This window comes from Homo sapiens, chromosome 2 (genome assembly GCF_000001405.40).
Source record: "Homo sapiens chromosome 2, GRCh38.p14 Primary Assembly".
Classification (NCBI taxonomy): Eukaryota; Metazoa; Chordata; class Mammalia; order Primates; family Hominidae; genus Homo; species Homo sapiens.
The window spans coordinates 109,411,835-109,433,220 of NC_000002.12; the positions used below are offsets into that span (position 1 = coordinate 109,411,835).

The following is a 21,386-nucleotide window of genomic DNA, read 5'->3' on the forward strand; positions in this document are numbered from 1 at the left end:
TCTAAGTAATAGCTTACTGTTAAATCCCACATATTTGCTTGGAGCTTTTGCCATATCAAGTGTCAGCTGAAGGCCAGGATTCCAGTGAAGCCGGCAGAATGTCTCCCTCCTGCTGTCTTTAGGGACAGCCTGTGTCAGGGTGGCCAAGGCCCCAGACCCCTGAATGGGCCCTGTGGCAGCTCCCACTGTCCACACCTCAGGTTCCTTGGCTGAGCCCTCCCGAGCCTCCTGACACCGAGCCCTGTGGGTTGCTTTACGTTGGACTCACGCAGGGCAGTCGGTGGATGCCGGCACAGATGGGATGGTGAGCCTTCGGCCGCCGTGGTCCACGATGCGTGTGCTCCGCACAGTGTGCACTCTCAGCCTAGCCTTCAGCCTCTGCCCAGCAGACAAAACACAGTCTCCTTGGTCTCTCCTGGCCAAACACATTGCCCCCCTTTCATTGGAGTATGGCTTGAGCAGCTCCAGGACATTGGGAGGTGGAGATCCAAGTGCCGGGGCAGGCTTCAGGCAGGCCACCCTCCCAGTGTGGCCCCAGCGTGGCTCTGGCTGTGCTTTGCTTGTGCTATGCTGGTTTGGGACAGCTTGGCTGTTTCTGGAGCATTTATCTGAACAGGACAGCAGGCATGGTAACAACAGCAGGACCAGTGCGTGCCTATCATCTTAGGTTCCCACTCTTCCCGCTGCTGCAGAGCAGAGTGCCAGTGCCTGGGAGCACAGAACTGCCAGCCCAGCCCCTGCTGGTGCTGCAGGGTCACCCCTGCCCTTTGTCAGCTCCCAGGATCCCCTGACAAAGATGGCACATGGGGGATCGAGAAAGATACGGGCTTACCGTCAGCCAGACCTCAAGTGTTAACTCTGTTATTCTTCTCATACCACTGTGGAAATGTTTCAGGAAACCATTGTCACTTGATATTAAAGTGTAGATTAAAAAATAATAAAATTATCCCAAAAGGCAACTCCCCAAAGGAGCAAAGTTATGGTTTGGTATGTAAGTTTCCTGACTTCTTGCCATGAAAATACACGTATCACTGTCAGAAATTAGATAAGCCTTCATATGCAATGCTGTCACCTCCATTTCCACTCTGCATACCCTACATGGCCCTCCAGGCCTGTCCATGGAGACCACGGCACAGGCGGCAGTGGGGCATTCTGTGTCCTTGTCAGCCTGCCAGCCCCACACCCTGGAACTTCAGGAGTGCAGGTTTTTCGTATCATAAACAGTGCTGCTGCGAAATCCTTACCTGTACCTCCTTTCTGACTTGTCTGATTATCATTATTTTATATATATATTTTTTGAGATAGAGTCTTGCTCTGTCGCCCAGGCTGGAGTGCAGTGGCGTGATCTCAGCTCACTGCAACCTCCGCCTCATGGGTTCAAACGATTCTCCTGCCTGAGCCTCCCAAGTAACTGGGATTACAGGTGCTTGCCACAATGCCCAGCTAATTTTTGTATTTTAGTAGAGACAGGGTTTCACCATGTTGGCCAGGCTGGTCTCGAACTCCTGACCTCAGGTGATCTGCTTGCCTTGGCCTCCCAAAGTTCTGGGATTACAGGCGTGAGCCACCACCCCAGGCCTGTCTGGTTATTTTAGGATTCATTCTTAACAGGAAACTGCCGGGGCTACAGGCTTTTTTTCCTGCCCTGTCTCTGTCTGTCTGTCTCTTTCTATCTCTGTCTGTCTACCTCTGTCTCTCTCTGTGTCTCTGTGTCTTCCTGTCTGTCTCTCCCGCTCTAGAATGGAGAACAGCTTTGTCTACAAGCCCAAATCACCAGGACCTGGGGCTGTATGAGAACGTCTCTGGCCCCCACATTCCCCTCCCTATTCTGTGCTCTGGGGCAGCACGCCTGCCCCCACCAGCCCTCCACACAGCATAGACATGTCATGAGGGCCATGCCTTGTAGGACCTGAGTTTGCAGACTTCTCTGTTACTAACTATGGCAGAATGGGACAGAAACCAGGGGACTGTGGGTCCACTGGCCCAAGCCAGGAGTGAGGGCTTTCCCTGCAGGGAGCACACTGGGGTCTTCCGCATCCCATGAGTGGGATCAAGAGGTGTAACTCCCCACCAGTGGTCCAGCAGGGGCAGTCACCTGCCCCAGGAAGCGCCTGTGCATGTCAGCATTCCCAAGACCAGTGGGTCCTTCTAGGTCCTTGGCTTCCTTGGCCATTCCACAGCATGCAGCTCAATGGACAATGACATTCCCTCTGAAGCACCATCTCCCCTGGGCTATGGGTCTCCTTCTGTTTATTGGGCTGCCCCATCTTGGCCTCCTTCAGGGCCCTCTTCTGGGTGGTGTCCCGCAGATGGGGCCAGGGCATGCTCCCTCCTCACTGTCTCCCAGGCCACTGCACCGTCTACCCTGTTGGCTTCAGGACAACGATCACGAGCCTTTGTTGAGGGCCTATTCTGTGTACTTAGAGTGACTGCTTTATAGCCTGTGGGTTGTCTGACTTCATACTCCAGCTGTCTAGACCATGCAAGCTGCCACAACCCCATCTTCTCATGTCTTGGGGACTCTGTCCTCCACTGCTTGATTTCTATAGTCTTGGGAGCTATTGATTCAGGTTTCATCTGGTTTTTCAGTTTTTTCAGGCAGGAGGGTAAACCTGGCCCCTGTTACCATCATGGTCAGAGCAGAAGTTCATGACCCTCAATGGACACGAGGAGCAATCAGAGGCTCACAGACGCCATCTTGGCTACGGTCACAAACACAGGTCACACACCTGGGAGCTAAGGGCTTTGCCACAAGACTGCATTGCCTCATAGATCAGCTATACATACATGACCCCAGATCTGCTGCCCAGGCCAGTCCCTTCTGAGCTCCTGATTGGCATTACCAGCACCCTCATCATCCACACTGAGACATCTCCAGGCACACCAAACACTGCGTGTCCAGCACTGAGCCCATGGCCTCTGTGGTCTCTTGTTCCTGTCTCTCCAGCAGCATTTCCATCTGGCCAAGGCTAGAAACTCGGCCCATGCTCCTCCCTCAACGTCCTTCAGACCTAATCTTGTTGGTGGAGAAGGGACTGATGGCCCCCACACATGTCCAAGTGCTGATCCCAGAACCTGAGAATGTGTCACCTCATGTGGCAAACGGGAAAAGACCCTGAGATGGAGATGCTCCTGGATCACCTGGGCCACCGCAGCCACAAAGGCCCTCCCGAGAGGGAAGCAGAGGCCAGAGTCAGGGAAGGGGATGGCGTGGTGGAAGCAGAGGCTAGAGAGAGGAAGACGTGGCACTGCTTGCCTTAAAGTGGAGGGGACCAAGGAACGTGGGCAGCCTCTAGAAGCTGCAAAGGCAGGGAATTGGAGTCTCCTCCAGACTCCCAGAGGGAACACAGCCCTGCCACACCTTGATTTTAGAACTTCTGACTTCAACACCTTCTGAGTGATTGTAAGCCCCTGAGTCTGTGGCTGTTTGTTTCAGCAGCTGTGAGGAACTAACACCACGGTGTGGTGGCTAAGCACGTGGCCTGAGTTCAAAATAATAAGCAGGCTGCCTGAGTTCAAAATACCCATCTGCAGGCTTGCGAAGGTTGAAAGCATTGTTCCAGGGGGAGTGCTCAGAGCTGGGCCCAGCCATGGTAGACTCTGCACAGGGCGAGTGCTACCATCACGGGTGCTACAGTCGCGGCTGCTATTCCTACTAACAGCCCCCTGAGCGTGTCCAGACCCCCTCCTGACTCCCTTGCCCTCTGCCGGTGCAGGCTGGGCTCCCTCGCACTTCCTGATGGGTTCCCTGCAAAGCTGCAGGTCCTGGCTGTGGCTGCCTTCTCCCTGCCTGTCCTCCAGGGACGCCGTGCCCTCAGACTGAAGACCAGAACACTCTCAGGAGGCCCCACGCAGCCTGTCCTCATCCCGTGGGGATACTGCCCCCTTTGCCTCCAAACCGTCACTTCATCTGGCCTCCCACCTTAGCCAGCCTGGGCTCCTCTAGGCCCACCACCCACCCTCACCACCTCCCTGCTGTGGCTTGAATGTCCCCTCTGAAATTCATGTTGAAATTTAATCCCCCAGGCGCAGCACTGAGAGGTGGGGCCTTTAAAAGGCAATTAGGTCACAAGGGCAAGGCTGAATAATCACTCATGGATTCCTGGATTCATGGGAGCAGGGCTGGTGGCTTTCTAAGAAGCAGCAGCAGGACCTGAGCCAGCATGCTCAGCCCCCTCGTCATGTGATGCTCTGCAGAGTCCCCACCAGCAAGAAGGCTGTCACCAGAAGTGGCCATGCAGCATCGCACTTCTCAGTCTCCAGAACTATAAGAAATAAATTCCTTTTTGTTATAAATTACCCAGTTTTAGGTATTCTGTCGTAAGCAACACTAAACAGACTAAGACATTCCCTAACAAGACTGCCTCATGCCTTTCGAAGCCCTCCCAGCCACGCCCAGCCCAGGTTGGGTACCTGTGTAAGGGGCCTGTGCACGCTGAACTTCCTAGGGCTGCTGCATGCTTAGAATTACATGTCCAGGCTGGGTGCAGTGGCTCATGCCTGTAATCCCAGCACTTTGGGAGGCTGAGGAGGGCAGATCACCTGAGGTCAGGAGTTCAAGACTAGCCTGGCCAACATGGCGAAACCCCCCCGTTTCTACTAAAAATACAAAATATCTCGGCTCACTGCAACTTCCGCCTCCTGGGTTCAAGCAATTTTCCTGCCTCAGCCTCCCCAGTAGCTGGGATTACAGGCGTGCGCCATCATGCCTGGCTAATTTTTGTATTTTTAGTAGAGACGGGGTTTCACCATATTGACCAGGCTGGTCTCAAACTCCTGACCACATGATCTGCCCGCCTCAGCCTCCCAAAATGCTGGGATTACAGGTGTGAGCCACTGCACTGGATATTGTGCCACTGTACTCCAGCCTGGGTGACAGAGCAAGACTCTGTCTCAATACAACAACAACAACGAACAAAATATTAGCCGGGGGTGGTATTGTGCAACTGTAATCCCGGCTACTCAGGAGGCTAAGTCGGGAGAATCGCCTGAGCCCAGAAGCAGAGGTTGCAGTGAGCTGAGATCGCGCCACTGCATTCCAGCCTGGGCGACAGAGTGAGACTTCATCTCAAAAAAAAAAAAAAAAAAAAGAATTGTATGTCCAGTGCTTGGCCACCTGGATTGCAAGCCCCACACAGTCACAGGCCATGGTGTTCCCCATGGGGGCCCAGGGCCAGTTCCGACTGCCAGGTCATCGAGTGTCAGTGTGTCGAGCCTGTTGTCCCTGTGTTGGAATTGCTTGGTAACTATTTGAATGGGTGAGTGAATGACCCTAAGATCCTGCCCACACATTTCTTCAGTGGCCACAAGGAGACCTGTGGACAGTGGAGAAAGCATCCTCTGCGCAGATGCCTGGGGCTGGGAGGGCCTGGTGGAGAGTGAGGTGACAGCTTCTCCTTCTCCCTCCCTTGGGGTGTCTCTGCCCTCGTACTTGCCCTCCAGCCCCCACCTACACCTCCATGGATGGTGACTCATGATCCAGACCGGCTCTGGGGAGTTCTCTAGAAGGAAAGTGATCCTGGCATTGTTGGGGACACCTCCTCTTCCCTGTCTCCCTTCATGGAGAGGGCAGGTGTCCCGGGCAGACAGAAGACCCTGGAATCCATCCGTGGGAAGGAATGCCCCCTTCCAGCCCTGTTCTCACACGGTGCTCAGCCTTTCCTGCTTCCGCATGTGGCATGAGGCAGGCACAGGACCCTCCACAGGACCCTCAGCCAGGCACAGGACCCCGACAGCCTCTGGACACCTGGCTCTCTCAGGATCCTTTGAAAATCAAAGGTTTTTCTCACAGTGTCTGCATTGCAATGGAAGTCATTTGAGACTTGGAGTTACCCTAGAGACACCAAGGGAGTCTCTCGGTTGCACCCGCTCATTCTGCCAGGCGCACTGGGTTTAAACAGGAGGAAGAAATCGTTTCTGACTTTGTAGACACTGCCCATGTAGCATGGTTTCAGGCTCTGCTATGATTGCTGGTCAGGGAGGGCTGTAACCACTCAGGGAGGGGCAGGTAGGTGGCCGGCGGCATGCAGAGGTTATCAGCTAAGCAAGGCCAGAACTGGTCAGTGAGTAATGAGAAAGCTAAGCTTCTTGCTCCTAAGCTAAGAAGGTGGTGTGAGGCCAGTCTGGGGGCAGGGCTGGCCACCTACCTGGGGCAACTTCCAGGTGGCTCTCCCTCCCATCTGTGTGGTCTCTGCTTGTAGTGCCTTTCGCTCACCTGAGGACACACACTGGGGACACAGGCACCTTCCCCATTCAGAGCCAGGCAGCCTCTGCACCCCACCAAACCTGCCTTTGGCCGAGGTACCTGCAGCCTGGCCCCGTCCTGTGCTCCAGTTTCTGCTGGGACCCCTATTCTGCCCCTCGTCAGGCCTACACGGGATCCTAGAGGAAGGGAGGAGACCCCTGTCTCCCTCCTTGAAGGGAGGTGGACCCCTTCCTCCTCCAGGCTCCCTGACAGCCCCTCTAATGGAGTGTCCTGAGGCTTCCAGAGCAGTACCACAAACTAGGTGGCTAAAAGCAACAGAAAGCTGTTCTCTCACAGCTCTAGAGGTCGGAAGCCCCAAGTCAAGGTGTGGACAGGTTTGGTTCCTCCTGAGGCTGAGGGGAGTCTGTTCCGGGGCTCCCTCCTGGCTTTGGTGGCTGCCGGCATCCTCAGCACCCCTCGGCTTGTGGATGCATCACTCCTGTCACTGCTCCGTCCTCACATGGGCTTCCTTCCCCTCCACATCCCGGTCCTCCTTCTCTGTGTTGTAAGGATACTCATCATTGGATTTGGTGCCCACTCTAATCAAGGATGATCTATTCTCAGGATCCTTACCTCATATCTGCAAAGACCCCTATTCCAGATAAGACCACAAGCACTGGTGCCAGGGCTGGGACTTGGACAGATCTTTGAGAGGTACACAGGTCAGACCCTTCTGCCATTGAATGCCTCTGAACAGGAAGACAGGACACTGTCCTAGGGAAGGCCAGGGCAGGGCGAGCAAGCTGGGTCGTAGGGGGACCTGGGGGCAGTGCTGCCCTGCATGGGCTGGGACTAAGGATTCTCTATGTAGGAATTCCCTTGGCAAGACCATGGTGCCACCCAGATTCCTCCCTCGGCCCCCCCACTGTCCCCAGAGAGCACAGCGCACCCCTGATGCTGACCGTTCCTCGGGTCATCTCCTTGCTTAAAAAACCCTTGAAGCTTGGAGCACTTTGGGGTCTTGGGGGGAGGGGGGCACCCTGTGACTCCCGGTCCTCTTGGCCTGCTGCTCTGTCTGCTGTCATGGGACCAATTTTCTTTAGGGATTAATCTCCAGTTCCTGGGGACGCTCTTTTTAAATAAGCTCTGTTTCATAGCATGAAAGATTTTGTGTGGGTTTTTTTTAAACAAACACAATAATAATTAATTCAAGGTCTAAGAATAAAGCCAGGTCTGGAACACGGCCTGACTACAGTGTGATGCTGACCAGCCTAGATGCAGGCCGTAGAAGGCTCCCTGAGCTGCTGGGAAGGGGCTCTTGAAAATCACCTCAGGGCAGGGGTCCCGGGCTGCCAGGCTCCCTCCCATGACAGTCCAGGTAGGCACAGCACGTTGGAGGCCAAACAGCCAGGCAGCTGGCGAAGCACAGGCACCTGTGGATGCAGCCTCATTTTGCTTTTCTCTTTCCCTTGGATGGAGTCTCTGTCTCCTCACTCCTGTCCCCTCTTGTCTGTTTCCAGGATGTCTCCTCCTCGGCGGGATCTACCCCCACGGCTGTCCCACGGGCTGCCTCGGTGTCTGGAGAGCAGGGCACGCCTCCCAAGGTCCAGCTGCCCCTCAACGTGTGAGCTGCCCTTTGTGTCTGTCGGGGTCCTGTGCCTGCAGCCCTCCCTCCTGCCTGGGCTGACCTGTCCACGTGTGGTTTCCGCAGGGTTTTCCCATGTGTTACTAGTTGGCCAGTATAGTTATGTGCGTCTAATAACACCGCTGAAGGGAGAGTGTGGAAGACAAAAGTCTAGCGGTTCCTTCTGATGTCGTTGTTTCTAGGACATTTCTTCTAAGCAGGGAGGATATTCAGAGTATTCACAGTGCAGTTCCCAGTCAACAGGAGAGGAGCCAGCCATAGTGTGGAGCAAGCTCTCCATAGCATGGAAGGTCCGAGATTGAGGGGAGAGGCGGGAGGGAAGCAGGTGCGCAGAGCAGCGGGTAGTCTAGGAGCTTGGGTAGCCACTAGTCACCAACTGCTTGGAAGTGGTTCTGTGTTTCAGCCCCCGTCCCAGGGCCACACCAGCGCATGCCAGCTGCATCTCATCCCCAAATATAACCAGATGAATCAGTGCTAGGAAGTGAGATGTTTATCTTGTTTAGAAAATCTGCCCAGTTAAATTACAGCTCTTAACAGATAAGTGCAATTTTAAAATTCCCCATTTAAATCATGCTCTGAAGAATTAGACTCCCTTTTGCTCTTGTGTTTGGCAGAGCTCAGTCACTTGAATGACTGTGTTAGGGTGAAGTCTATGAACTTGGCAAACAAGATGACATAATACAGAAAGTTCTGTGAATGCAGGGTGGGTAGACGTCAGAGGGACACTCAGAACCTGTGTTGTTACAGAACAGGATTTTTTGTTGTTGTTGTTGTTTTTGTTTTGTTTTGTTTTGTTTTTTGAGATGGAGTCTTGCTCTGTCTCCCAGGCTGGAGTGCAATGGCGCGATCCCGGCTCACTGCAAGCTCCGCCCCCCAGGTTCACGCAATTCTCCTGCCTCAGCCTCCCAAGTAGCTGGGACTACAGGTGCCAGCCACCACGCCTGGCTAAATTTTTGTATTTTTAGTAGAGATGGGGTTTCACCGTGTTAGCCAGGATGGTCTCGATCTCCTGATCTCGTGATCCGCCCGCCTTGGCCTCCCTAAATGCTGGGATTACAGGCATGAGCCACCGCGCCCGGCCAAACAGGATGTATTTCAAGCAAAAAAGTATTTTGAAGAGCAACTTGCCAAGCTTCAAAAGGTCTAGAAGTAGCTCAGCTGCTGGCACACACTCACCCACCTCTAAGCCCAGTGGAAACACCAGCCTTTCTTAAGTGGTGGGCAGGAAAGCTCCCAATATCCTCCTACTATAATTAACCAATGTAATGAAAGGTATTTGAAATGTACCTATTTTTTACCTAGCTTCCTGAGCAGGCTACTTCCAGATGCCTTGAGACTGATATTCAAGTTTTCACCAGCACTGGACAAAAGATACTACCTCCATCTCCTGCCATGCTCCTAGCTCAGTTCTGGCAGCTTCAGGCAAAGCTGGTGCCAAGGAGGCACATGGAAAAGTGGGGGGTGATGGGGCTGCTCTTCTTGAAGAATTGGATGCAGGATGCTATCTGAGGAAAGAAACCTGCACCCACAGTGGGATAGCCCTGATGGAGTTTCCCAAATGAGAGGCAGGATGCAGGTCAGGTTGCTGAGGCCATGAGTGCTTCAAGGGCAAAGCCCAGATGTGTTTGTTTTGGAGTCCCCGTGACCAGCTGAATGCCTGTACACAGGCTCTCAGTAGCTGCCACTTGTTCTATGAGAGCAAAGGCCTCCCCTTCCTGGGTGCAGAGGGCTCCCCAGCTTGAGGCGAGCTCAAGGCTTAGCCACCCAAGAAGGCTTCTCTGTCCTGGAGACCCAAAACGTAACAGTTCCAGGCATGTCACCCCTCAAGAGTTGTGAATATTCTGGAGGCCTCAACCATGGACAAACCTCCATGTCCTGGATGGCTTCTAAATTTGGTGCAGATGTGGAGGGACCTCTTCTTCACCCAGTTCGCCTGCCCTGGGGGACAGGGTTGCTGTGACCTCTAGCTCTCCACCTTCTCCCTCTGGGCTTCTCCCCCAGGGGAGGGCACTTTCCACTCAGCTTGAGATTTGGGTAAGAGGGAAGGGAAACTTATGTGTCGGACAACATCCTTCTAAGGATGACAAGGATTTAGGTAGGAATGTGTCTGCAGGTGACACAGTGGCCCTCCATGCAGGAGCTGGATCATGGTCAGCATGACCTGTGACTGGTGATGGTCCGTTCCATGTGTGTTCATGGCTGTTATACTGAGTAGCAGTCACATGCCAGGCAACATTACATACGTTACAGCAGTATGCATGATGCATTCTGAAAACATGACATCCTTTATTTTATCCCCAGAGAGGAAAAGATCAGACTGACCTCATCAGTTTATGAGGAAGGGGATTAGCCTGACTGCTCACCTATCCTCTTTAACTCTAAGAAGCTAGTATTCCCACACATACCCTACCAGTGGCAAGTACCCGGGGTGGGGGTCTGATCTAACCATTCTTCCCAAAATAGCCTCTGTAAGTCACGTTCAGAAGTCTGAAATTGAACATGAGATGTGCTGTCGTTGCAAAAACAACCACAGCAAACAACAGTGCACTGCTGCCCATTGCGGGTCTGCAGAGAATGATGGCTTGGGGACTCCAGCCAGGGCCCAGATGGGGCTGATGTGAAAGTCAGCCATGGAATGACTTCAGGAGACCTCATTCCTGATCTTCATGATTGCATAGCTTTGACCTCTCCAGGCCACATCATGTGCACTGAAACATGAGCCCTTGAGATTAAGAGGCCTAATCCTGTACGGTCAGTGTGTCGATGGCTGGATGTTCTTGCCCCTTCTTCCAGCATGTGAAAGGCTTCCCTGGCATGGATTCCCTAAGGGCTCAGTTGCCCGGAAACACAAGAAGGGTCTCAGTTTGCTCACCCAGTGCATGGAGGCGACTGTGAGTCTGCAGAGACGTCTCTCATTCCTGCACCCCCTTTCCACCCCCTGCTGTGTTGGGCTGGGGCTTGTCCGCCATTCCTCTGGCAGACCTGCTGTGATTTGGGAAAGCAGAAATATGATTGTCTGCTCCTAGAGGCCATGCTCCTGGGCACAGCCAACCCACCCAGAGGGTCTCAAGGTTGATGAAATGCTGTGAGTAGGTTGCCCCTGATTTTGAAGGGTTGATTCTCACCTCCACTTCTTCGTGGGCATCTTAGAGCCACTGCCTGATGTGAAGGACCGGAGGAGGCAGGGAGAGGGCATAGGGCTACCCTGCAGGAGCCATCCGAGATGTCCTGTCATCACCTACAGCAATGGAGGAGGTGGAGGAGGAGGACGAAACAGGCATCAGACCGACACGCCTGGGTCTGACTCGGTCCACGTACCTGCAATCTGAGAGCAACGGAACTCTTGGCACAGAGCCTTGGTCTGGGACTGCATGTCAGCTTGCCATCAGAGAAGGAAACTTCCACAGTCGATGGGTGCAGTTCATTACCTGCAGGGAAAACTAGGTACCCTGTGAGGTGCATGACCACCCAGATGGCACCTGAGGGACCTGGGAGTCCTATCCAGGAGCCCAGAGAAAGACTTAGGGAGATGGGGGGTTGGCCTGCAACAGGGAAAGGGAAGCCCAGGGGAATCGTGGCCAGCGGTTTTCATCCTCCCCTGCTGAGGTGCAGACCAGGGTCCCTGGATCTGGTGGTTGACACTGGTCATGTGAGACGTGCTCTCTGTCATGGCAGGGATGACCTCGCAGACCTTGCTGTGATCAGGAGTGACCCCCTCATGACCCCGCTGCCATTTGTGCGTGTGGTCAAAAGGCCACCAAACCATCCTCAATAACAACAGTCCCCACATTCTGGGACACAGGAAAAGGACTGCTGACCAAACCATGCCAACACAAGACAGGGGCACCTTCCATTCCAAATTCACAGAACAGGCTGGTGCTGCACTCAGCCTGCAATGAACTGGATCAGCGTGAGTTCAAGACAATAAGACTCGGTAAAATAAGTCCCTGCCAGGCTTGGAACGAAGGCCTGGATCAGCGAAATCACCGGGTACTGCCCCCAAGAGGTGTCTCAGAGGCCAGCCGCCCAGCCTCCTTTGACAGTGCCCAGCCTTGTGGTCAGCCTGGCCCCATGGTCACCCCTTCCAGGCATGGCGGCACCGTCCTCAGGATATTACAGACAGATGCGACCAAGAATATGAGAGTGAGCCTGAGAACCAGTGGAGGGGTGAGTACTCTTCATCCCCACCCCTGCCGCCTGCACCTCTAGAGAGGGCACAGCTGGGACCCCAAGCAGGTGGGGAAATGGAGGAGATGCAAGTGGGAAGAGCAGAGAATTTTATTGAGAGAGTCTCTGGATGACATAGACCCTGGCGGGCAAAGGTCGGAGACGTCTGGGCCGCTGCAGGGCCGGTTGCAGTGGAGGGAAGGAGCTGCAGGCCCTGGTGGTGGCAGCACATCCCCACCGGTACCGGCATTGTCTAGGCTGGGTTTCCTGGAGGCAGGCCCTGAGATGGGGAGGTTTGTGGGGAGTGCTCTCAGGACACACCTGCGCTGTGGCTGAAGGGAAGCCTGTCTGATCCTCGGGGCTCTGGAGCTGAGACAGCCCTGCGGAGTTTCCCCATTGGAAGTGAGCCAGCGCTGGCTTCAGGCTGCCCTTTGAAGGGGCAGTCATGGGTGATGCTGCACCCTGAGGGAGATTCCCAGTGCAGCCACCACAGTGAGTGATCAGCCACTCATCGCCCTTCAGAGGGGACCCAGGCTGGGCATCCCTGGACCCTGTCCAGTGGTGGGGCTTCAGCCTCAGAATGCAGCAGAAACACAGGCAAACCTCATTTCATCGCACTTCACTTTGTTGTGCCTCACAGATACTGCATTTTTTTTACAAATTGAAGCTTCGGGGCAACCCAGCATCCACCAAGTCTAGTGGTGCCATTTTCCAACAGCATGTGCTCACTTCGAGTCTCTGTGTCACATTTCGGTAATTCTTATAATATTTCAAACTTTTTCATTATATCTTTATGGTGATGTGATCAGTGATTTTTGGCGTTACTGTTATGGAGTTGTTTTGGGCACCATGGACCATGCCCACATAAGACAGCGAACTTACTCGATAAGTGATGTGTATGTTCTGACGGCTCCACGGACCCACCGTTTCCCCCATCTCTCTTTCTCTCCCCAGGCCTACCTTTTCCCTTAGACACAACAATACTGAAATCAGGCCTTTTAGTAACGCTAAGTGACCTCTAAGTGGTCAAGTGAAAGCTAGAGTCGAACATCTCTCACTTTAAGTCAAAAGTTAGAAATGATTAAGCTTGGCGAGGAAGTCATGTCAAAAGCTGAGATAGGCTGAAACTTGTGCCAAACAGTTATCTAAGTTGTCAATGAAAAGAAAAGTTATTGAAGGAAATTAAAAGTGCTACTCCAGGGAACACACGAATTATAAGAAAGTGAAACAGCCTAATTGCTGATACGGAGAATGTTTGAGTGGCCTGGATAGAAGATCAAACCAACTGCAACATTCCCTTAAGCCAAAGCCTAATCCAAAGCAAGGCCCTAACTCTCTTCAACTCCGTGAATGCTGAGAGAGGTGAGGAAGCTAAAGGAGGAAAGTTTGAAGCTAGCAGAGGTTGGTTCGTGAGGTTTAAAGAAAGAAGCCATCTCTGCAACATAAAAGTACAAGGTAAAGCAGCAAGTGCTGATGGAAAAGCTGTAGCAAGTTATCCAGAAGATCTAGCTAAAATCACTGATGAAGGTGGCGACACTAAACAACAGATTTTCAGTGTAGACAAAACAGCCCTATATTGGACAATGATGCCATCTAGGACTTTCATAGCTAGAGAGGAGATATCAAGGCCTGGCTTCAAAGCTTTAAAGGACAGGCAGACTCTCTTGTTAGGGGCTAATGCAGCTGGTGACTCTAAGTGAAGCCAGTGTTCATTTGCCATTCCGAGAACCCTAGGGCTCTTAAGAATTATGCTAAATCTACTCTGCCTGTGCTGTGTAAATGGGACAACCACGCCTGCATGATAGCACACGTGTTTACAGCATGGTTTCCTGAATATTGTAAGTCCATTGTCAAGACCTACTGCTCAGAAAAAAAAGATTCCTTTTAAAATATTACTGCTCATTGCCAGTGTACTTGGTTATTCAAGAGCTCTGATGGAGATGTACAAGGAGATGAATGTTGTTTTCATGCCTGCTGACACAGCATCCATTCTTCAGCTCATGGATCGAGGATAGTTTAGATTGTCAAGTGTTCTTATTTTAAAAGTACATCTTTTTCTTTCTTTCTTTCTTTCTTTTTTTTCTTGAGATGGAGTTTCACTCTGTCGTCCAGGCTGGAGTGCAGTGGCATGATCTTGGCTCACTGCAACCTCCGCCTCCTGGGTTCAAGCCATTCTCCTGCCTCAGCCTTCCCGGTAGCTGGGATTACAGGCGCATGCCACCACGCCCAGCTAATTTTTGTATATTGTATATTTTTTTAGTAGAGACAGGTTTTCGCCATGTTGGCCAGGCTGGTGTCTAACTCCTGACCTCAAGTGATCCGTCCGCCTTGGCCTCCCAAAGCGCTGGGATTACAATCGTGAGCCACTGCGCCCGGCCAAGCAGTACATTTCAAAGGTTATAGCTGCCATAGATGGTGATTCCTCTCATGGATCTGGGCAAAGTAAATTGAAAACCTTTTGGAAAGGATTCACCATTCTAGGGCCATTATGAACATTTGTGATTCATGGGAGGAGGTCAAAATATCAACATTAACAGGAGTGTTGAAGAAGGTTCTTCCAATCCTCATGGATGACTTTGAGTGGTTGGTTCAAGACTTCAGTGTAGGAAGTCACCGCAGATGTGGTAGAAACAGCAAGAGAACTAGAATTAGAAATTGAACCTGAAGATGTAACTGAATTGCTGCAATCTTATGAGAAAACTTGAACAGATGAGGAGTTGCTCCTTCTAGATGGGCAAGAAAGTAGTTTCTTGAGATAAAAATCTCCTCCTGGTGAAGATGGTGGGAACATCATTGAAATGACAACAAAGAGTTTAGAATAGCACATAAACAGTTGATGAAGCAGCAGCAGGGTTTAAGAGGATTGCCTCCAATTTTGAAAGAAATTCTACTGTGGGTAAAATGCTGTCAAACAGCATCAAATGCTATAGAGAAATCTATCATGAAAGAAAGAGTCAATGTAGCAAACCTCATTGCTGTCTTATTTTAAGAAGTTGCCACAGCCACCCCCACCTTTAGCCACCACCACCCTGAGTAGTCAGCAACTATTCACATCAAGACAAGACCCTCTACCAGCAAATAAATTATAACTCCCTGAAGGCTCAGATGATCATTAACATTTTAGGGCAATAAAATATATATATATATATTTTTTTTTGAGACGAGTCTCGCTCTGTCACCTAGGCTGGAGTGCAGTGGCATGATCTCAGCTCACTGGAACCTTCGCCTCCTGGGTTCAAGCGATTCTCTGGCCCTAGCCTCCCTAGTAGCTGGGGTTGCAGGTGCCTGCCACCACACTGGGCTAATTTTCGTCTTTTTAGTAGAGACGGGGTTTCACCATTTTGTCCCAGCTGGTCTCAAACTCCTGACCTCAGGTGATCCACCTGCCTCAGGCTACCAAAGTGCTGGGATTACAGGCGTGAGTCACCGTGCCTGGACAAAGAAAATATTTCTTAATTAAGGTACTTACATTTTTTTAGACATAATGCTATCGCATACTTAATACGCTACTGTATAGTATAAATATAATTTTTACATATATTGGTAAACCAAAAATTCGGGTGACAGTTTATTGCAATATTTGCTCTATTGGGGCAGTCTGGAACCAAACCCACGAGTATCCCACAGGTATGCCTGTACCTGGAGGGCTGTTGAAACACAGATTGCTGGGCCTTACACCAGGAGCTCCAGGGTGAGGCCCCAGAATCTCTAACAAGTTCCAGGTGAGGCCAGTACCACTGGCCCAGGTTCACACTTCGGGAGTCCCTGCACACTAGCCCCACACACAAGTGTCAAAGGTGCTCAGTTGGGAAAGACATCAGCTCCTAAGCTGGCCTCACAGCCGTGCCACCCCAGCTCCTTCCTTCCATGAACTCTGTGACACTTGGTTCTACCTGGGAGAACCCCATCTCAACCCGCGTAACTGCCTGTGGGATCCCAGGAAATCAGAAGGCCCCAGGGAGAACCGAGCAGTTTCTGCTGGCTGGGCTGAGCCAGACCATGATGTCAGCCCTCAGGGAAGAGGCGAAGGCAGCAGTGCTCCCGGAGCTGGCCATCCTGAGGCCATACCTGCAGCTCCCCAGGTGCTCGCGCACGCTCCTCTGAGCATCTGCACTCATCCTCGCCCTGCCTGCAGCTCCTGGTCGCCTCTGAGCTCCTGAGCCTGCTTCAGCCCTTCCACAGGACTTACCCAGCCCTCCCCAGCCCCCTGGCCTCCAGTGCAGCCCCTGACAGCACTCCTGCTGTGGGTCTTCCCTGCAGAGTGGGTGCTGCACCTAGATGGAAGAGGTGAGGAGGAAGCACACGCCTCCCTAATTCGAGCCAGCGTGGCCCTGGGAGAAAAGTAGAAGTGGGACTTCTGGTAGGAGAACTGGGAATCATTTACTTATTTTAGAAGACGTATGAGCAAGCCACCATCTAGAGGAGAAAGGGGATGAAATTAGCGAAGGCACTAAAATACTTTGGTTTACTCTGATTAGAGCGGAAGAGAAATCTGCAGACAATTAGCAGCAAGTAAAGATCTTGCTATAGAAATAAGGAAGTAGTATGGGTAAGCGAAGGCTGTGCTGTTAGTTTCAACAGGCTGCACGTGAAAGCAGACACATGCCATGCCCAGCTGGGTCAGCCGAGTCGGCCCAGCCGCCAGCCTATCTTGTCTGTGCACCGTCCCGGGTGTGGTGAGCCCCTGGCCCCATGCCTGACTGCACACCTGCCGCGGCCACTTCTGCCTGGAGGAGGCTGTACTTGTCCTCAGCAACCTGCCCTCAAGAGGCGCTTTTTCTCATTGGCATGAAAGCCCTATACACGCTACCAGGTGGTGGTGAGGAAGGCTCTCTGATCCTAAAATCCCATGATTGCCTTAAATAAGTATTTGAAGTACCAACCTGTGAGAATCCGCAGAGGTGATGTCTGAGCATGCAGGGTGGCCTTGGCTGGTCTCGAGTGTTATGGAGATGCCCTGAGCACTCCGCAGGGCCTGTGTTGAGCTGCCAAGGTGTTTTCAAGCAAATGGAAGGTGAGAGTTGGGCTCAGGAGCCAGGAGGTTGTGAGCCCTGCTACCTGCAGGTGCTGCCCGGTTCTCCCTGCCATGCCAGACCCAGGTGCATGTGTCTACGAAGACTGGCTCGCCACTGAGTGCAGGGGACGCCATCCAGCTCAGCCAGGAGACTCTGAACTGGCAGTCCTGACAGGACTCAACTCACAGACGTTGGTGAGAAACAGGGTAACAGGCGATGCCACTGTGGCTGCAGGGGGCAGCGGCAGAGACCCTGAGAGGTGGGAGGGAGGCAGGTTGGGAAGGGCCGGTCTCGGCACAAATTGCTCTTCAGTGTGGTCCCTCCAAGGCCTCCTCTTGAGTACCTCAGAGAGGACAGCAGATGCAGTTGACCCCCACCCGGGCCAAGGCCCACCCAACACGAGCCGCATGCCAGAAAACAGACCCAGCACATCCATCTGCTTTTGGTGTCCCCTACGAGGCACCCAGAGGAAAAAAAGTAGGCAGAGAAGAGATTTTTCAAAGTGAAGCTAGGCTTATTTACATTCCAGTTCCCCCAGCAACCTACACCTAGAGGCCGAACTTAAAATAGAGATCAGAGTGAAGGATTACTCATCAACAGAACGAACTTAAAATTTAAGATGAAGAGGCCAAGTGCACTAGTGCCCTGGTGCACGTCAGGGCAGCATCTCCCTACGCGTTGGCCACACCGGGCCTGTGCTTGGAGTGAGGAGCCAACATACCCCATTCAGGACCCCAGCCTCCCCGGGCCACACCTCTGTGCAACTGCAGCTCTCATCTTGCCCAAGCCCTGCCCCAGCTGTGCCCCAGGCCGCGCTGACAGCTCCAGCAGCCCAGCCCTGGCCCTACCCCTGAACATGCGTGACCATGGACAGAAGCTCCATCCCCTCGAGCTTTTGTGTCCGCAGCTGTGAAACATGTGCAAGAAGGCCACAGACAGCCCTGGGGAGGAAGCACGTTGCACAGGGCCACCCGAGCAGAGGTAGCCCTGCTAGGGGTTCCATGCTCCCAGGCCACCAAGCTCCACGCTGTGCAGGGAGCCTGCAGTAGCCTGGAGGGAGAAGTGGCCCAGCCCCAGTCAGCGGGTGTAGCCGCAGCCAATCCACGGAACAAGGCCTCCACAGAGCACAGCCCACCCCACACAGGCCACTGAGCCCCTAGCTCTGCACCTTGCCTACCAGCCCAGGAGCAGGAGGGAGAGGAGTCCGTGAGCTGTGGTCAGCAGCTAGGGCGTGTTCTGAGCCTGCCTTGGCAGCTGATGAGCCCCCCACTCCAGAGGAAAGGCAGCCCCGGACCCCAGAACCAACTAAAAGGAGCTGTTGGTGCGGCCTGAGTTGCATACTGTTGCCCATGGCCAGGAGCCAACCCGGCTGCGCATTCTGCATGTGGCCACTGAAGCAAACTGTTTTGACACCATAAAGCAACAGATGAGGCTAACTTAAGCAGGATTTACACTCAATTGTATTTCTCTGAGAGCAGGCACATCAATTTGTGCGTCATTGTTACTGATTCACAAGCCTTCCACGGATCCAAGTCCTCCCTGCACTCTTCCTCTCCTCTTCTGCCTTCCTTTGCCTCAGCCCAGGCTGTGTGGAAGCCACCCTCCTCTCCTCTCCCCTTCTCTTTCTTCCTCTGTCCTCTCCCCGTCCTCTCCCATCCTCTCCCCATCTCCTCCTCCTCCCTCCTCCTCCCTCCATCTCTCTCATCCCCTTTCTTTCACCTCTCCCCGTTCTCCTCTCCTCCCCTCCAGCTTCCCTGCACAATACACAGGTACGTGTTGGCTGCAGTTGTTTGTCATTTTCACTGGACTTTTCCCTTAGTGGTATTTCCTCTATGGTGATGGGAACAGAATCACACCCTGGTTTCTCTCCATTTGTCACCTAGACATAGCATTGAAACTGTGAACGTGGTGGGGTGGCGGGGTCCTCTCCTGATGATTTTGTGTATCCTCCTGAAGCCCAGAGTTGGTCCTAATTTCACTGTCAGTGTTCACCATTTCAAACAGGGAAAGAAACAAAGATGCCAGCCACAGTTGGAGCCCACAGCATGTCCCTAGGAGGAGGGCATGAGGGACACCTATCAACAAAGGAAATAGCCAAGGTCATTGAATGAGGGCAGAGGGCCTTGCTATGTAGGATTAGGATGTTCGAAAAGGGGGGCAGATTTCATATTAAGGCCAAGAAACTTTTAATCTCTACAAGGTTCTCCTGCTATTCCAGAATATTCCACACTGGTTCTTTTTTCCTGCTTGAGCCCTCGTGAGCTGCATTCTGTTTCTGTTTTCACTTCTAAGTGGGGTTCCTCCAGCATCAGGAGGGTGCAATGGTGGGGTCTATGAGCTTCCCTCATATCCCCAGAGATGCACTGTGTGCACAAGCCGCTGGATAGGGTCAGCATCCCCACCCAGCAGCCTGCACTGGTGTGAGGTCCACCAGATCACTCTTCATTAACATTCATCTTTGGTCTCTTAGTGAACTGAGGCCTCCACCAGCTTCCGTGGCTGAATCTTGTGAGCAAATAAAATAATCTGGTATGTTCTCTCCCTCCGTTCAAAACCAACCTTCCCCAAATCCCAAAAGTAGCAGAGCACTTTTGTAAGTATTATCCAATCTTTACAAGGAAAAGATATAGGTATAGTTAAGTATTTTATGAGAGTAGCTTGGCCCATGGGCTGAGTTAGAGGCACAGCATCTAAACCCTAAGCTGGGATTTTCACCACTAAATTTGCTCTTTCCTTATTTGCAAATAAGACTTAAAATTAAGGCTGGTGTAATCCCAGCACTTTGGGAGGCTGAAATGGGAGGATTGCTTGAGACTAGGAGCTCAAGACCAGTCTGGGCAACATAGTGGGACCCCATCTTTACAAAAAATAAAAAACTTAGCCAGCATGGCGGTGCACACCTGTGGTCCCAGCTGCTTAGGAGGCTGAGGTGGGAGGATCACTTGAGCCCAGGCCATTGAGGCTGCAGTGAGCTATGCTTGTACCACTGCACTCCAGCCTGGGTGACAGGGTGAGATGCTGTTTCAAAAAAAAAAAGGTCAAGTAATTAACCATAGCACAATTACTGCAAGGAAGTGTGCAACCACAGTTTTCTAACTTAACCACCTTTCCCTTAAAAAGGGCCTCTGAGGTCTCTTCCACCTCTGGTTGATTGGATAAGCCAGGCAGGAAAACCAGGCCAGGTTATATTAAGTGAGGAAAACCCAGCCCAAGAATAGCTTAGCTCACCCTCAGTTTTCCCTAAGGTTTCCCTTGCTCAGAGCATCAGACTTTAGAAGAGGAAAACACTGGAAATCCAAAGAGCTGGCCCTGGGATGCAGTTCAGAGAGTCCTTGAGGGCTTTGGGGTCACTGGGCCTTAGGGAGCTGCCTTCCTATCTGTCAGATGGGCAGGTGGAATCCTCCTAAGGCTGTGGGTGACAGGCACACCCCTCCCCTGCAGGCAGCTCCCCGAAGGCTCCCTGCCTCGTGGGTTTGTTATGAGGAGTGAGCTGGGGAGGGTGTGTGAGGCCTCTGTAAACTGCAGAGCCCCCATAGACTCTAGTGGGTCTTTTTAGGTTGGGTTCCTCCAAAGACAACCTCCCCCCAGGAATGCCGGCCGGTCCCCTATCCCCAGGAGGGCTCCCACTGACACTGGCCCCATGCTTTGCCCGCAGGTACCTGGCGCTCTACGCCTACAAGCCCCAGAAGAGTGACGAGCTGGAGCTGCACAAGGGAGAGATGTACCGGGTCCTCGAGAAGTGTCAGGATGGCTGGTTCAAGGGGGCGTCTCTGAGGACCGGGGTCTCTGGGGTGTTCCCCGGAAACTACGTGACACCCGTTTCCAGGTGAGGGCATGGTGGTGGCAGCCTGGGCAAGGAGAGGGCAAGGGCCTGCACGCCTTACCGCTGTTGTTACTGCTGGAGGCTACTCTGTCAGCCGGGCCCAGAAGGCAGCAAGGCCACCAGTGCCCAGGGTTCAGCCCCCACTGGCGTCCCCAGGCCCACATTTCACCTTCTGAGCTGGGTTTGCACTCAACTCCTTGGCTGTCCTCAGCAGACATTGGCCACCAAGGGGAGAAGAATGGGATCAGGAGGAGCAGGGACAGGAAAGTCACCAGAATGAGGTCTCAAGTGTGAATGTGTGTTTGTGTGAGGACAGTGTGTGCACATATATACAGTGTGTTCAGCGTGTATGCTATGCGTGTGCAGTGTGTGCACGCTTCTGTGTGCTTGTGTGCATGGTATTTGTGCATGTGTGCAGAGTATGTGCAGTGTGCGTGCCTGTGCACGTGCGTATGCATACTGTAAGCACAAGGTGTGTGCGTGTGTGCATAATGTAGGTACAGCATGTGTGTATGCAGTGTGTATGCATGTGTGTGCAGTGTGTGTCATCAT

The 21,386-nt window shown here is 52.7% G+C and overlaps 2 protein-coding genes across 5 annotated transcripts in view, besides 3 other annotated features; both read left to right on the top strand.

Moving 5' to 3' along the window:
• Window positions 1–21,386, top strand: part of RANBP2 (RAN binding protein 2) — a 1,122,820-nt gene that overhangs the window by 692,353 nt on the left and 409,081 nt on the right. The gene's annotated exons all lie outside the window — the stretch shown is intronic.
• Window positions 1–21,386, top strand: part of SH3RF3 (SH3 domain containing ring finger 3) — a 375,430-nt gene that overhangs the window by 282,630 nt on the left and 71,414 nt on the right. For all 4 annotated transcript variants that reach the window (NM_001099289.3, XM_011511109.3, XM_047444144.1 and 1 more), the window contains 2 exons: window positions 7,705–7,808; window positions 20,667–20,837. In NM_001099289.3, coding sequence (NP_001092759.1) covers window positions 7,705–7,808; window positions 20,667–20,837 — 275 coding nt within the window. The remainder of the gene's footprint in view (window positions 1–7,704; window positions 7,809–20,666; window positions 20,838–21,386) is intronic.
• Window positions 3,288–3,901: an enhancer, noted in NCBI's record as "H3K4me1 hESC enhancer chr2:110031578-110032191 (GRCh37/hg19 assembly coordinates)". NCBI's record gives its function as "activates a minimal SCP1, AML or CMV promoter by ChIP-STARR-seq in naive H9 embryonic stem cells {active_cell/tissue: H9 hESC(naive)}" and the evidence as "EXISTENCE:reporter gene assay evidence [ECO:0000049][PMID:30033119]".
• Window positions 3,902–4,514: an enhancer, noted in NCBI's record as "H3K4me1 hESC enhancer chr2:110032192-110032804 (GRCh37/hg19 assembly coordinates)". NCBI's record gives its function as "activates a minimal SCP1, AML or CMV promoter by ChIP-STARR-seq in naive H9 embryonic stem cells {active_cell/tissue: H9 hESC(naive)}" and the evidence as "EXISTENCE:reporter gene assay evidence [ECO:0000049][PMID:30033119]".
• Window positions 17,988–18,551: an enhancer, noted in NCBI's record as "H3K4me1 hESC enhancer chr2:110046278-110046841 (GRCh37/hg19 assembly coordinates)". NCBI's record gives its function as "activates a minimal SCP1, AML or CMV promoter by ChIP-STARR-seq in primed H9 embryonic stem cells {active_cell/tissue: H9 hESC(primed)}" and the evidence as "EXISTENCE:reporter gene assay evidence [ECO:0000049][PMID:30033119]".